Source organism: Homo sapiens, chromosome 4, assembly GCF_000001405.40.
Source record: "Homo sapiens chromosome 4, GRCh38.p14 Primary Assembly".
NCBI classification, from domain to species: Eukaryota; Metazoa; Chordata; class Mammalia; order Primates; family Hominidae; genus Homo; species Homo sapiens.
This window is the reverse complement of record NC_000004.12, coordinates 104,726,529-104,743,695: the sequence shown is the minus strand read 5'-3', so window position 1 is coordinate 104,743,695 and position 17,167 is coordinate 104,726,529. Positions and strand designations below refer to the sequence as shown.

Sequence of the window (17,167 nt, the reverse complement as noted above, 5' to 3'; positions counted from 1 at the left end):
AATAAGCTTTCAAGGCTCCCACTCCCTTGAGACATGAGCAGGACGCAGGGCTAAATTTGGGGTTCCAATTCCTACCCCTCAAACAGTGGCAGGCTGAAGCCACACTTAGCCTTCATACAAGATTCATGATAATCCTGGGACTGGCTTGGCTCTGACACTGTATTAGATATGTGAAGATCCAAGCTGCTCTCTACATAACTCAGGGCAGAATAGGGATTGCTTTGTAGGCACCCTGGCTGTTTTAAAGTTTTCTTTTAACCAAGTGACTTTGAAATTTCTCAGTATTTTTTTTGTGTGTGAGTGAAAAGAGAGTCAGACAGAGGAGAGCTGACGTTCCCCAGGGGCAAATCGTGTTTTCGGTTCCTCTTTATACCAAAGTTTTTCTTGCATTTTATCTTATGTCTCCTCCTACAAGCTAAAGATTTGAGCAGTTCTTTTCTTACCAAATTTAAGGGATGAACGCTGCAAGGACATGTACCGACCATTGGATCTTAAATGCTTTACTCAAAGTACAGAAGGTAAATGCAGAAGTTTTCATTAATCCCTAACCACATTATTTGACACCTAGGTCTTTTTTATTAGACACTTATGGAGAAGCATTTGTAATCTTTACTTCAAAAACAAATGATAAGATGTCACTTTAACAGTTGCAGCCTTTATCAAGAGTTAGCTGATTGTATTTTATGTTTTTGTTTTTGTTTTTATTATGGGAGAAGAAGGCAATAAAGAAGGAAACAGACTTTCATAGCTCAAGACCATTTGGTCTTTACCGCATAACTTAATTGGATCCTCACAAAAGTCCTAGGGAGCAGATATTATAAATGCAATTTTAGATGGGCAGAAACAGGATCAGGAAGGTTAGGTGATATATTCAAATCACACAGCTAACACATAGTAGATCCAAAACTCAAAATCAATTTTGTCTGATTCTAAAGTTCATGCTTTTTCCACTGGCTACTAATGCCTCATAGAAAGGAAAGAGATTGAGGTACCTGACCTAGCCAGAGAACAGTGAGATTTATGTTCCAGTTCCCTGGTTTCTGAACAATTCTTCCATGAAATGATGATAACACCACCATATTATATTCCAGGGTTGCCAAATACATGGGACCAATACAAAACAGCATCTCCTCCTCCTGCCTGCTCAGGTCCTTCTGAAACCTCTGCGAACACTTCCTCTCGGGAGAGTTCTACCACGCTTTGCTCTGTTTTAGCATTTTCTTATTGAGACACCTGCCTCCTCACCTCATTTGTCCCATAGTGTTATAAAACAGAGGCAAACAAATGTTTTTAGAGAAAAAGCAAGGGAATAATAATAAGTTAGTTAGGACCTACCTTCTTTTGGATTAAAAATGATGCACGAGGTATTTTTGTGATACGAGTCCATTGCAACTTCTAGTGAAACAAACCTTCCCGTGAAGTAGATCAGAGATAACAAGAATCACATTCTACACATGCCTAAACTCTAATTCTTTTTTCTATGCCTGGCTTGAATCAGGTAAATTTTAATCCTTTATTTGTGACTGAAAACAAACTTGGCTACTGTCTGGGTGGAAGCAAAGGTAAGGACCCCTGTAGGTGAGAGATGTAGTTGGATATTGATTTGGTCAGATATACTTTACCTTATTTCACAATAGAGGACTGTATTTGGGGCTCCTGAAAGGGTCTAAAAAAATGGAGTAAAAACATACTAACCCCCAATTTTTCACTGTAAACTGTTTATCAGAATCTTTAGTAAGTTTCCCTTGCCTTTTTATCTGATTTTTAAAATCTGAGTGCACAGAATCAATTTTTCATAAAACTTGCAAGTTTTGAGGCTTTTGCTGCATGTCAGGCACCGTTCTAGGTATTGAGAGCAACAGCAGAAAACAGATAGATTTTGGTTTAAGTAGCTCATATTCGTGTGTGTGTGTGTGCGTGCATGCACACACACGTGGTGAGGGAGTGTTTATGTATGTGTGGCAGGAGGGACACAGATAACAAACAGATACATATAAAATATATAAGGTGGCAAAAATAAATCCCCATGATAATGAGTGCCATAAAAAAATAAACCCAGAAGGAGCTAGAAATTGGCTGGGGTTGGGGTGGGTAGTTTCTCTTTTATATTGAATAGTAAAAGAAGGAACCTCTGATAGGTTATTCTTTGAGAAGAAACATGTTTCTGACATTTTTCAGAAACAGCAAGGAGGTCAGTGTGACTTGAAAAGAGAAATTAGGTGACTGGTAGGGCAAGCAACAAAAGGTTAGACTGTACAGGACCTTTTAGGCCATAGCAAAGACATTGTATTCTACTTTGAATGAAATGAGAAGCATTAGTGGGTTTTGAGCGAAGGCTCACTCCAGCTGCTGTGTTCAGAAAGAATAGAGGAGCAAGCTGGAACTTAGTTATCTTTATTAACTGCCTCTGGACACACTTAGAGGGTTGTAGAGGGGATTGAGTGGTATAATACATACAAAGAGTTATTGCATGAGTTAATACATCCTAAATTCCTAGAACATGAAAATGCTCAGTGTCTTCGTTTGGGAGCCAGCATAATTAAGTGTTTTAGAGATGGTCCTGGGCATGTCCCTGTCTAGATTCAATCCTTGCTCCATTTCCTACTTGTTTGATTTTCTAAAAGTTACCTAACTCCTTCATTCCTTGAATTTCTCATTTGTAAATGTGAATAATATAGTGTCTCCCTCACAGGATCATTGTGAGGATTAAAATTAGTCTATGCCTATGAAATATCTATGGCATCACTGTGCACATAGTAAATATTCAATAAATGTTATCAATGTCACTATATAGCTTTTACATTTTACAAGGTGGTTTCAGGTTTTCCATCTCAAAAGCTCCTTATGAAGTAAATCACATAAATACTTCTATTTTTGTTTTGTAGAAAAAGGGATTGAGGTTCAGAGAAGTGAAATGACTTGCTCAAGATCACTTAGCCAGAAAGCAGTGGAGTGGAATCGAGCCCAGATCTTCCAAGTATTCTTTTCATTATATTCGGCTGCATTTGAATGTTTACGTATGTGTTAGAAGAACTCCAGGTCAAGCCTCTGAGCTCCAAATTGATGATTCTTTTTCTTTTATCATAGGTCTAACTAAAATATTTGTATAATGAATGAATGTATGCATTAATAAAAGAAAGAAATGAAACGAGAAAGGGGAATCCTTTATAAAGAGGACAAGTTTAGGTTGCTAGAACGTGCAGCGTGGATTTAGGAGACTGGATACCAATCAGTTGTTGACACATTGTATAATTCTGAGAAAATTGCCTAACATCTTGAGTCTTTGGTTTCTTCATCTGCTAAATGAAATCTCAGTATATTCTCATATCTGCTGGCTAGATTTGTGAAAATATATGCCAAGATAAAGATGGAAACACTTAGGAAAAAATGCTCCATATACCACATGTGTTGCTACTATTAAACTTCTCTAAGAAAATTCAGATCTAGACACCTCTAAAATACCTTCTGGGGTTGGTTAGTAAGCATTTGCTCAAAAACTTGAATTTTTGCACTTTTTTTGGTGGGGGAGGGAGAGTATGGATTAAAAACTTTTTTCTAGTGGCTTAAATTCATGGTAATTTTCCTAACTACCTTAGAAAAAGTTGTCCAGTCTCACCTTCTCCTTGATTTTCATGGTAAAAGTGATCACCTGGTGACTTAGTCCTTTCAGGATGCTATAACAAGATACCATAGACTGGGTAGCTTATAAACAACAGAGATACATTTTTCACAGTTCTGGAGGTGGGGAAGTCCAAGCTGGAGCTGCTAGCAGATTTGGTGTCTGGTGAGGACTCTCTTCTGGCTTCATAGACAGCACCTTCCTATGTCCTCAGGTGGTAGAAAGGGAAAGAGTTTCCCTGGGATCTCCTATAGAGTCAGTAATCCCATTCATGAGGACTCTGCTCTCATGACCTGAACATCTTCCAAAGGCCCCACATCCAAGTATCTTCACATTGGAACTGTTTCCACATATGAATGTAGGGGCATACAAATATTGAGACCTTAGCACCAGCAGGCTCTCTTTCCCAACCATCCGCAGCCACCCTTATTGGGAACAGTTAACACAACTTTATTGATTTTGATAAACATTTATTGAATATCTATTATGTACCAATCATTCTACTAGGGAAGGCCAAAATGATAAGACATCATTTCTGACCTTATGGAGTTCAGAATTGAATAGGAAATGCAGTCTCACAAACCATACAGAGATAACATGTGATATAAACTCTAATGGAGACCTACAAAATGCTTTGGGCATGTAGTCTAAAATATGCTTAGCCATGACTGGTGTTGGATGGAGAGGATTGGATGGAGAAGGTGCACCAAAAATGATGTTCAAACTAAATATTAAAGTAGAGACTGGGGCCTAAATGAGTGCTGGGGACTTCGAAGAAGCAGAGTCTGTGAGTTTGTTCCTTTTATTTTTAAAAAAATTTAATTAATTTATTTATTTTGCCACAGAGAGAAGTTTTTTAGCAGGTTGGGATATAGTTGTTACTACAGGAGGAGGTTCTTTGGGAGGTATTTTAAAACATTTACAGGTTCAAGGAAAAATGAGGTTAACATTTTAGAAGAAAATTAGCAAAGCAATGTCTTGTGGATGCAGGAGGGCTGAATTTTAGTTTGAGGGGAGAAAGACTTTTTGTTGTGATACTACCAACCTATGGATGCACCAGTGTGACACAAGCACCCAGTGTGGTAAGGCTATTTTCTGAATTTCTATACCTTTAATTTTTGGGGACAGCATAATGTAGGGGAATACATCTTCATAGAGAATAATAAGTGTTGGTTTGACCCTGAAGGATGAGACATTTGAATGTCAAAATATTTTATAACATTAGTAGGCAAAATTATGGTAAAACTGTGGCTTGTGTGGGTTGCTTTTAAAATTTCTGCTCTACCCTGAGCGAACAAGACCTAGTCAGGTGATTGAAGAAAGGTCACAGGCTTTATGGGACTGAGCAGTTTAGATAAGCAGTCAGTATTATCTGATATTTATCAAGACTGAACCTGAACTCCAAACCTGGAGCTTTGCCCACCGGCACATCCTATCTGGCTTATGCTTTTTCCTATAGGCAACTAAGTCAGGATCAGATGGGTGGCAGATACCAGGCCATATGCATATTTATAATATTGCAAACTTGCCATCAAGCTGACTAAGCCAAATTAAGCATATAAGAAATGAAAAGTTTAGATGGAAGCTGATGTTTTTAGGATTCCAGGATGTGGCTCTGCCAGATCAGTGTGTTAACTTAATGAACGAGAGCAGCTCGCATTTCAGGAAGGAAAGGAGCCATGTCGTCCTGATGAATCAATCCCTGTAAGTAGGTTCTGTGCCTTATAGAGTATCCCCTCTCCCACCTCCGACCCACTACCCTCCCCACCGAGTCCCCCTCATTCCCACCTCTCACAGCCATAAACAAAACAAAAAGCAAATGAAAACAAACAAACAAAACCCTCATCTGACTCATTGTAAAAATACACTCAGGATTTGGATATTGCCCATCTGATATCAGTAGCCTTTTCTCAGACCATAGTAATTACACTCTGCAAATACATTGCTTCTGAATTCCCTTTAATGCAGTCTTTTGTTTCTTTCTGCTCATGTTCTCTTTTGCTTTTGAGCCATTTCCTGTCTCTCCTTTCTCAATAGTCATCAGAGTTTTAGATACCTCAATAATTCTCTCTTCTAATCTCTTCCTTTCTAATGAAAAAAACCTCTTTTTCTATGTTTTTTTCAGTTATAAACATTGATAACATTTATCATTTTGTTGTCATTTCTGTACCTTTCAACTCTTTGATATTTTTCCCATAATAAGATGCTTGAAACTTTACAGTATTTCAATGGCCTATCATACTGTGATTAGTGTCCTTTGCTAATTTTTGTCATTCCCCTAGTTTTATGTAACCTTGTGTTTTGAATGTTGTAGATGACACGAAAGCAATGGTTTTGAATTTGTGCTTCCTTTGGGCTCTTGATCTCTCTGTTGGTCCATATATGCTTAACAGTTTGTGAGCATTTTAGGTTTACTCTCTGTTGCTATTAAATATATTTACTTCTCTATCTATATTACCATGTTGGTAGGTTGGAATCATACCTAAAGCACCCCATATTCTCATTTTTAGAACGTTTGATCAGTCACTTGTCCCAGGTTAAGTGAAAAGCGTATGCCATATATATTCCATTTGTTGCTTTCTTGCATAGCCATCTCTCTAAGAGCTCAGGCAGAAAATAAAAGAATTCCCTTGTCAAAGTATGAGGGGAAAGGGGAAATGTCAAAGCTCTTCCAAAAAATATATGGTTGGAGCCCATTATATCAAGAGTTTTCAAAGGGAAATGCTGTCTCTTTTAATCTGTCCCCCTTTACCCAGTAAGCTTAGAGCTCCTGTCTATTCTTGTTTCTTCCACCCTCAATTTATTAACACTGAAGTCAACACCAAGCTGGATAACTAGATGGGGGAAAATCTCTAACTATGCCAGATTACCATCTACCGTCTATTACCTCTGGCATAGGTAGGGGTCTCTGATTTATTTTATTCCCATGTCCCACTAAACTTACTGCATACTGAGAGACTTTGGCTTGGCAAAAGACTAAGAAATCGTCCTGGCCTGTTCTAGACCCCCCATATTTTCATTGCTGGTATACAGCAGTTAAGTCTCCAAACAGATTTACTTCCTGTTAAAAGTATTAATAATGTTGTACTTCCCTTTCTGTCTGGGAAAGGAAGCTTTATGTGGGCCTTTCCACTTGCACATTTGGTAAAACCAAGCTCCTTGGGAGACAGTAACATTTTGCCTTTGTCTCATTTGAGTGAGACAGGGAAGGAAAGAGGCCCAACAAAGGAATATTCTGGGAAGAAAGTCTATTCCCTAATAGTTCCAGTTTATATATAGAACCCCAAGAACCTCATGAATTTTAAAAGGAATTTAATTTGGAAGTATGTACATATTTTATCTTCCAAAGATATGGCGGTGTCTTTATGCAAAAACCCAAATAAAAGGATACTTTTAGGGCAGTAACTGTAGTGATTTACTCAAATTGTATCTTTTCCATTGCAGAGGAAGCCTTCCAACAGAAAGGGTCTAACTGGCTAAAGGAAGACTCTGGGGGAGGCAGCAATCTGTCCATTTAGCTTGGGGGACAGGGGAGGGTTGGTAGTGTGAACTTGCAAGGTAGAGAAAGATTGAAGTAGTTGAGCGACATTTTCCACTACTGCACAGAGAAATTTTGAGAAGCCCATTGTAGTGGGAAGAGGAGATACTTCCTAACTTATTTAGACCCATAGGAGAAGTGGAGACAGAAGAGGAGGCGACATGTACTGCACTGCAGTTTGTCAAGAATACCAAGATACTGCATCTGGAGAAGGGTTCCCTAATAGCAGGGTCCTCACTGTGGTCCACTCTGTGCCCACGTGTGCTGAGAGGGAGGAAGAGGTGGTGGCTAAGGTAGCAGCAGGTGCATCTGTGAAAGTGAACCTCGAAGGAGCTTCATTCTTGTTTTTACCCATTAGTTTTCCCTTTACTGGTGCTCGGATAAGCATTATTACTTATATAGTTAGGAAGAGAAACTTAATCTTATACATGTCAATTTAATAAACACTTATTTGGCCACTCTTTTTGTCGAAACTTTGTTAGATGCTGGAAATACAGAGGAGCAGCACACAGTTCCTGCCTTTAAGTTGTGTTTTGGAATGTTTTGCTGATGTGAGGAGATAATTTTTTTTTTCATGAGGTGATGTGTAAGCCCTCACACAAATGGTCTCTCACTAATTAAAATGACAGGTTTATACAAGATGCTGGTGAGGTACTATGTGTTCTATCTTCTGTCCAAACATCACAGATGGTGACTGTGTGTAATAGAATATATTCAACCTGGTCAAACCCTAAGAAAAACTTGACACCACAAGGCATGTATACTCTGTTTCCTGAACTGGTTGTCTCCTTAAGGAATGTATAGCTGCATACCACTGTCATAACAAGAATAAAGGATAAGGCTGTTTAACTTAGGTCTTTCAAATGACTTATTTGTACCCGGAAAGCATTCAAGTTCAAAGGATATAGAGACAAAACAATTAGAATTACGGCAGCATGAACAGAGACAGTGTCAAATTTGTGACAGCAATTGATAGAAATATAACAGTGGTACAGCTAAGGTGAAAATCTTGCTTTAAATCATACTGAAATGTCTGTGATTCTTCCAACTGCTGTTCCCCATTTCTACCACAATGAAGCACTTTTTTTTCAGTTCTTCTTTTCCATGAAGAGAAAAGAACAGACCCAAGGACATAGAACCCTGTATCGGAGCCAAGGTTAGAGCTGAGATATTTTTGGCTCCTAATTCTCTGCTGAGTCCATTAGACTATGTCTCCTCTTCTTTCTATTATTTGATTTTCTGTTCTCTGAGTGTTTACATACCCAGAGTGATAAAATACATTTTTGTTCTTATGTTACTAATGCAGTAGAGGTATTTTTTCAATTTTGCCGAACTGCAACACACTAAACATGGCAAATAACTGCTTTCAACAAAATGTTTTCAAGGCATGCCTTGAAATGGGAGTTAAAAATAGGAATGCAAATGCTAATAACGGTATTGATAAAAGAAACTCTGGCTTCAAAAATGAGAAATTCAATTAGAAAAAATGAAGGTGACAGTATTTGAGGAAAATACTCCACAATGTCTGAGAGTACTAATGGAAACCTTAATTCCATGGCATTATCACAAATTAGATAGAGTTTTTCTCAATGTAGTTACTTGCAGGTCAGCTAAGATAATAGTGGGAGTGTTTCTGGGCTGGCCATCCTCCTTACTGTTGACCCTGAAGGTGATATGCCAAAATTTAGATTACTTTGATATCTGTAAATAATGAAAAGAGAACTACTAAGTCAATGACCCACTGGACCCAGCCTAAGTAGCTTCTTAATGTTCAGACACACATGCCAATCATAAACTTCATTTATCTGCCTCTCAAAGAAGTTAATGCTTCACTGACCATGTATTTTAAGATCATATAATTTACAAATGCTTACAGACTTAGACAAAAACATCATTATGTGAAAATACTTTACATTTTATATGATCTTACCCAAAGGAGCTCAAGAAACTTATCAGACTGCCCGTCATTAATTTTCACAGCATCTCTGTGAGGGAGGGAGCAAAAAGCATTCTGTTCATTGTTACTGTCAATATTCTTAGCTGATGTTCTCTTAAGATACTTTATAAAACTAAGAAAGCCGTTGTGTCTGTCCACAGGATGCTTACAACCCAAGAAATCCTGATAAGGTCCACCTCACAGATGTCAAAACCATTTTTAGCCATGAAAAATCAGATGCTCTTCAGAGCGAAAGATTCTATCTCTCATCTGCCTCCTTAACACATTCCAGTTAATAACTAGAATCGTAATATTTCATGTTTTGATATAAAGCTATTCACTCTGGATCTTTTATCAATGGACATGGAGATCAGTCCATCACTATATTTTGTAAAAGAGACCTGAATTTTTATCTCTAAAGACTGAGTGAGCAGGAAATGTGCGTATCAGATAGTTTTGTAGAGTCTGAACAATTTCCCAGAGTTGGAATGGGGATGTCAAAGTAAAAAGTAGCCTTTTGAATACATACGAAAATTTGGTATTATATACTACATATGAATAATACATATGTAGATAGTTGATTGAGGACTAGCTTTTAAGCCAGGCTTTTCAAAAGTATCTATTATGTAACACTAGCTGTGTAAGATATTCTTGAAAAAAAGGTCAATAAATATGGTCAACTCTTCACTATTATTTGTTTTTAGATATTAATCATATTTAATAGTATATTAAAGGCTCTGATAAGCATTGAAGTAAAGAAACATGCTTAACTTTGTAAAAACTGCCCAAACTTATTTTAACGCTAAATCCTTTTTCAGGGAACACCCGTAAGAAACAAACATTGGGAAAATAACTTTAACTCACTTCATCTGGGTATTTAACATGGTTCGGTACATTCCCTCTTCACTAAGAGAGATCAGTAAGCCATGGTACTTTAACTCAACAAGATCACAATCTAGAAGAGCTTTTGTATATGGTGTTTATAACATTAAGAAGTTTACAAGGCTGAATAAAATTGGGAATGCTAATTTCCAAATGACCAAGATAGACAAAAATGTGCCTTAGGAGTTAGGAGAAAAATGTAGTATAGGGAGTAGAGTAGGAGTTTATAGAAGGTTGAGTACTCAGTGTTTGCAGAAAGATTCAAAGCAGTCAGGGTATGTGAGGTGCAGGTGGGGTGAAGTGGGAAAGGGGAGGCAGAGCATGGTATTCCATTTTAAAAGCACGAGCGAAGAATGTTTGATGAACTGTATGAAGGGTTAGTAATGATGGGTTAATGAATATAGACTTTATTCCTCAATCTTCTAACTTAAATGTATTAGTAGATCTTCAAACTTTACCTCATACACTCCCTTGTGGCTGTTGCCACCACAATTGCTGAAGTTTCTGCCTCTGCTCATGTCTTATCAGATTCCTCAGGTTTCTTTCTAGGCTCATCCACTAGATTTTCAAGGGTGGGGCAGGAGTACAATTGCATATTATACCTACATACATGAAATAACAAACTAGGAAAACAAATTGTTAAATATAATATGTTGCATTCTCCAACATTGACAAATATGTCCTCATAGTAACCTGCAAGTCCAGGTTCAAATTTAGAATTCTAATGGTAAGTAGGATTCTAAAAATAACCCCTGTTGTTGGCTGAATAGTGTTGTTACAGTCTCTAGTTAAGCACTTTTGTAACCTCAAACACAGCAAGAGTTCTCAGCTGATTTTAAGTTAAGAAATTTTATTGTAACAAAAAAATTAAGATTTTTTCCTTTCAATCAGAGGGATAATATGCTAAAAATGGAATTTAATTCTTTTAAATTTGAAGATATTAATAAGTTGGATTTGAGGTGCAGGAGATTGAAGGAAGAATTACCTGATAGGAATGCATTGCAGTAATCTGAACACAAGGTGAGGAGTACTCAAATATTGGTATTATCAGTGGAAATGTGTTTTTAAGATACCAATAAAAATACTTTCATACAGTTGAGTTTGAAATTGCAATATCATTTCTAAATAGAGATATTTTGTATGCAGTTAATGGTATGAAACAAGGATTCAAGAAAAGATCCACATAGAAACAAAGAGGTGCTTAGCCATAATTAGTATTATGGGATACCTGAAATTGTAAGAAAATAAGATTTTTTTCAGGGGGGGATGCAGAGGAATGAGAATAAAACCTCAGAGGATTATGACAGATCAGGCACAGAACAAAGAAAATCTAGAGACAAAGAAAGCCAGAGAAAGAAAAGTGCACAGAATGAAAAGCTTTTCCAGAAGGTCCCTGCTGAGATAGAAAGGAAGGGTGAGGCTCTAACTACAATCAGGTGTATATGAACATGGAACATCCTCTCTTTTATTCCACAATCTGCTTCTCTCTTGCATTTTTCATCTTGGAACCAACTTCTTGTTATCTCTCTGGTGTTCTGATGTGGGTTAATAACCTTGTTTGGTTTTCTTGGTCTCTGAGCTGGTTCCTGTTTGCTGAATTTTCTCCCATATAGGCAGATTAGACTCGCTGTTTCTGATCTTCTCTTTACTGTCAGCTTGACTCCATTAGAGCAGATTGAATTAGACGGTTTGAGACCCTGGCCATGCTGGGCGACCTTCAAGGTTAAATGAAACAACAAGGAGAATAAAGATTAGGAAAAGGAGTAGAGATTAGGTGGCTATCAGTGGCCTTGAAGAGACCATCTCTTGTCAGAAAAGTTAAAAGAATATTAATTGATGAATCAATAATCTAACCTTAGTCTCATCACTTTGTATTATTGATTTTTCTAGGGAGTTTGAAGAGTGCCTAATATGAGAATTTATTTGGTACTCATTATTTGGAGGAAGAAGGTAGCACCAGAGTTCAGAGAGTTTTGTTATCACATTTTCTATTTGTCAGAATGTCAGAAATAAACCCGATTTCATTCATCAGGACAGGAAATAAACAGCACATTAACACTTGGCTGAAGATGCTGCATAAACTATGAGGATTCCTCTAGTCAGGATCTCAAGCATATGCAATGCACAGTCATCCATCCCACACATATTTACTGAGTTCTTAGTCTATGCTGGGGACTATTCTATGTGCAGAGATTTGAGTGGTAACAAGAATATAAAATTCTTGCTGTCAAGAAATGTATGCTTTAGGGATGTGAAGTAGACAAAATTAAATATAAACACAAATAAAATGCTTGTAAATGCAAAAATCACCTATATTGTAATTTTTTTTTTTTAGATGGAGTCTCTGTCACCCAGGCTGGAGGGCAGGTGCAATCTTGGCTCACTGCAACCTCTGCCTCCAAGGTTCAAGCAATCCTCCCTCTCAGCCTCCTAAGTAACTGGGATTACAGGCACCCAACACCATGCCTGGCAAGTTTTTGTATTTTTAATAGAGATGGGGTTATACCATGTTGGCCAGGCTGGTCTTGAACTCCTGACCTCAGGTGATCTGCCCTCCTTGGCCTTCCAAAGTGCTGGGATTACAGGCGTGAGCCACTGTGCCCCGCTCTATATTGTAATTTCAATGCAATTTGCTTTCTCATGTGTTCTCCAAATTTATTCTAATAATAACATTTTCTAATCTTCACTACACCAAAATTTTTTCATGAATTTTGAACCTAGGCTGATAACTGGATCTTTCTTAGATATTGTTTATTTACTTCCTAATGACTACTGTATATCTTTAATCTCCATTATAGTCTTTGATTTTTCCAGTAACCAAATCAGAGACCTGGAATCACTATAAAGTTCTTTCTTGGCAAGAAAATCTGCTAGTCTCTATACCTTGTCATTTTACCTCTTTGATACATTTAGAACCCTTCTTGTCTACGCCAATTCCATGGCTACTTAACTAAATAGTATTTATTGCTTTGGGTGATTTAAATAGTCTACTAACAGGTCTCTGCCTCATAATTTGAGTAAGCCTCTCCAATTTATCCGTTACCCAGAATGACCTTAAAACACAAATATGATCATGTCATGTCTTCATTTAATATCTTTCAAAGACTTCTCATTAGTCAAGAATAAGTCATAAACACCCTAGCTTTGTTATCACAGCTTTTTGTGACCTGCCCTCTGTTCTACTCAACAGCCTCAATTCTACCATTTTTTCTCCCATCACCTCTGATCCAGCTATGCTAGTGACCCTAAGAATTTAGAAAGGGCACAGACTTTGGGGATCCTTCAGACTCAGCTTCAAGTCAGGCTCTGACATGTCATAACTATAATGGATTACTGAAACCTTACCTGGTCTTCATTTTGTCTTCTTACTTTGTTAGATTGTTAGGAGGTTCAATGTGTGTTTATTTAATAGTTATGTACCTTGTGCATTAGGTGTCTACACAAAGTAAATGCTATAAACTATAGCTATAATTGTAATTACTCACCCTCTGCCTAGAATACTCTTTCTCTAATGTTTACCTAGGTGTTCATAAATCAGGCTTTAATTCTTTCTTCAAACTTTAACATAGACATAATCTTCTCTGAGATACTTTCCTTAAGTTTACAAGGATTAAGTTCTGCAGATTGTTAGAACTGGGTTCCATCTTAGTTCTGCTGTATTCTATTGGTATAACTATTGACAAGTAACACTTTTGCAGATCCTCAGTTTTCTCATTTGTTCAACGAGGATAAAAAAATTCCTATCTTGTGAGTTTCTTATTCAACTATTCTTTTAAAGGACAAATAAGTCTACCCCTTCTTTCTCAACACATAAATATTCTCTTATTTCTACTTTTTCTCTCCATGTTATTGGTGTTCTTAATATTTCCAATATTAATGGAAAGGCACTGATCTTATTTTCCCAAATTATAGGTTTATTATGAAGCCCTTTAATCTTTCTTTGAAAGGCCTTGCCATGAGACTGAATCATTTGATTTTTTTTCTACAGTCCTTTTAGAAACAGGAAGGCCTTTATTTATAAGTTTGATAAAATCCAGGCATGAGCAAATGTAAACTTATTTATTTACATGTATCAGATATGAATGCATGATGTCACATAACACTTGCACCACTAGAGCCCACCACCTGTGGAAATGTCCCTGTACAGCAGACAGAATCAATTAATGCAGAAGATTTGGTTTGTATTGGGTATTGGCAAGTGGAGTACAAGTCCTATTTGGGGTAAAAAACATGTTCTCTTGAAAAAAAGATAAATTATTTTGTGGGGTAAAAGAGTTTCTTTAAGGGCAAACTGGCCAGTACTGGAAAAGACACATGGCCATGAGCATAATAAATTTTAAATAGGTACCTTTACAAAATTACTACATGGTTATTTCTGTAAACATGCACAAAATATTCATTCATGATTACCTTTTAAATACTAATGTAATAAGGTAAAATTCTCAATTTGTGGTATTTATACATTTCATTTTTGTTTTTATTATCCTCTTCAATATTGCAAATATACCCCATTGCAAAGCTATCCTCACGAAACTCCAAAATCTCTGTACAACCATGTTATTTAAATAATACTATTTGAATGATCATATCAGAAGATGAACAGAATTGATAGCAATGTCTTCCAAGACTTGTAATAATAGGATAGGAGTGCTTACATTTCCTGGTGTAGACATTTTTTATAACACTTAACAAATGGTCACTAAATGAAATCTACAGTAGGCAACCCACAGTCTCATTTCCATCTGTCTCTCTCTAAACATAATTGCCTTCAATCAGCTCTTGCTCTATGGGTTTTTTAAATTGTGTAGAAGTGCTTCCTTGATGAATACAATATGGAATATCTCAGCTTTATCCCCAGAGATTGAGGCATATCTGTAAAAACCTTGAAAGTTTGTAGGTGTTATACTAGCAACTGATTGCTGGAAAGTTACTATTTACCGTATAGCCTTATAAAAGGTTTAGCTTTCTCTCAAAATCTTTGCAAGCTATTTGGACCATGCTGAATGATTTCTTGAATGAGTTGACTCATCTTTTGCTGTTCACACACATATTCCTGAAAGGATGAATCACCAAGAAGAGTGAACCTTGAGCACAGACTGAAGCTTGGCCAAAGTAAATACCAAGCCAAATAAATCAGCATTTTCTTCAGCTGGGTCACCCGTGGGCAAAGGTAGAATGGGCTACACATGCACAGACCTCAAAGTTTCACCGAACAGAGAGTAGAGGGAAGTTCCAGGGATGGGGAGATCCTGACACAGCCAATCAAATCATTCTGGATTGGAAAGGCTCAGAGAAGCTAGGAGACAGAAAATGCCATAAAAATGTATCAAGTTAATTTCACGCTTTTCCACCTTCAACTTTAGCACAAATTAAATTTAATGCTCCTCAGCCTGAGTGGTCTGCATGCAAAATGGTACCACGTGGTTGAGGCTGATGGAGATAAAAAGAGTTTAGTGTTATTTACAAAATAGTATGAAAATATTTGTTTTGTGATCATGAGTTGCTTTACAGTAATTAAAATATCCCCTCCTCTTCTTCTTAAAGGTACTGAAACTCTTGTAGCTTACACACGTTAAAATTAAACTGTTTACTGTTCCGCAATATTAGATACCAAGTTAAGGTGTTTCAATTTCCACAAAAAATGAGTGGTTTCATTCATTAGATGATCTCTAAAACATCTTCTTGTACTAATGATTTAGAATCTAAATAGGGCCTATCTTTGTCTCAACATAAATGTTAGAATAAAACTCCACAGGACAAAAAGACATGATGTGTGTATGATCCATATGTCCAGGAAACAAACACGTTTCTAATATTCAGTAGAATTGCTGATACCAGCTTTCTAACCAAGATGAAACAAATCCAGGCTAACCCTGCTGACACACGACAACCCTAAGCGGTAGCTAAGGATTAGGGACTTTGACCTGTAAATATTTGTGAGAAAATAATACAAAATTTATTCTGCCTTTCTTCTCTTATTTTCTTGGTCTGGAATATAATATCAACCTACCAGGAACCCTGAAGAATTTTTGGGCTTACAGAAAAGTCTGCCTTCTTCCAGATCTGTTCCTTCAGGAATAACGAGATGTTACAAACCCACAGGAACTGGGTATTTGTTGTAAGAGCTAGGGAGAGGATCTAGGGACAAGGAAGAAAACAGAAAAAGTAGTCAAAAGTTATGTTTCGGGTCATTTTTCACCACAATTAACATATTCTTCCTGCTCCTTATCAGTCCTAGGACATTTTTCCTCTGTTTTATTTTATAGTATGGTTACCTTTCAGGGCCTAGAGTTGGAAGTTTCTGCTCAATAACTCTTGAGAGAAGCTTTTCCCAGCAACTCCTGTGTAACCCACTGGTCTTGTGAGTGAACGTGAAAGTGAGAAAGTTGTGTTTTTGCTGGTTCTCATTGGGTTGGACCTACTTTGCTATAATGTTTCTTTTTGATGGGGCAAAAGAGGTGGTAAAAGTCTTTTAAACTTTTAATTTTTTTTTCAAAAGGTAAAAGAAATGTAAAGGCTTTGGAGATGTGAATGGGGACATTGGGTTGCCATGGTCATCCTTTTTCTTTTCATTACAATAACACTCATAAGAGAGTATAGTGCAGTCTGCCTACTCACCAAAGAAGGCAGAAAAAGAATAAAAGTATGTTTTATGCAAGCTAAACTAAAACTTTCCCAAATGATGCCTAAATATGCCTTGATAATTTTTGTTCACCACTGCATTTCTATAAAGTATAACATGAATCTAAAAGATTTCAATTTTCCAGTGCGAATTATAGTGAACACATATGTTCTTTTCTTGGGCAATCTTATGGAAATTTTTTTCTTCTAATTCAAGCAATATGTCCTTGAGAAATATTACTTCATTTTTTTCCTGAATATCATTTTTTTTTTTCTTAAGCCTCCCCCTAAAATCCTGCAGTGAAGTTAAATGCCCATGCTTTTCTCTACTGGAACCCATCCACCCTCTCTCTGCTCAATGCTTCAGTCTCTGGTAGTTTTCTTTTCTTTCTCTTTTCCTTCCCTATCCTCACCTCCATCTCCTGGATTGGTAATCCCCTTACCCACCTTTTTAAAAGTTGCTCAGATACCTCTGTGAGACTTTGTCTATCTGCCCCAGAAGTGTTAGTTGCTCCCAAAAGTACCATGGAAACCTTCCAGTAGCACTTACCTAATTGCACTGCAGTTATCT

The 17,167-nt window shown here is 37.1% G+C and overlaps 1 long non-coding RNA gene across 1 annotated transcript, besides 3 other annotated features; it reads right to left on the bottom strand.

Moving 5' to 3' along the window:
• Positions 221-370: an enhancer, noted in NCBI's record as "active region_21768". NCBI's record gives its function as "activates an Ori minimal core promoter by ATAC-STARR-seq in GM12878 lymphoblastoid cells {active_cell/tissue: GM12878}" and the evidence as "EXISTENCE:reporter gene assay evidence [ECO:0000049][PMID:35858748]".
• Positions 401-630: an enhancer, noted in NCBI's record as "active region_21767". NCBI's record gives its function as "activates an Ori minimal core promoter by ATAC-STARR-seq in GM12878 lymphoblastoid cells {active_cell/tissue: GM12878}" and the evidence as "EXISTENCE:reporter gene assay evidence [ECO:0000049][PMID:35858748]".
• Positions 10,806-16,420, bottom strand: LOC124900746 (uncharacterized). Its single transcript, XR_007058212.1, has 2 exons — positions 15,986-16,420; positions 10,806-11,690 (listed from the first exon to the last, which is right to left on the bottom strand). It is a non-coding gene; the product is annotated as an uncharacterized LOC124900746 (long non-coding RNA).
• Positions 14,890-15,184: an enhancer, noted in NCBI's record as "tiled region #3032; HepG2 Activating DNase matched - State 8:EnhW". NCBI's record gives its function as "activates a minimal TATA promoter and a strong SV40 promoter by Sharpr-MPRA in HepG2 cells {active_cell/tissue: HepG2}" and the evidence as "EXISTENCE:reporter gene assay evidence [ECO:0000049][PMID:27701403]".
• Positions 16,421-17,167: the final 747 nt, after the last annotated feature.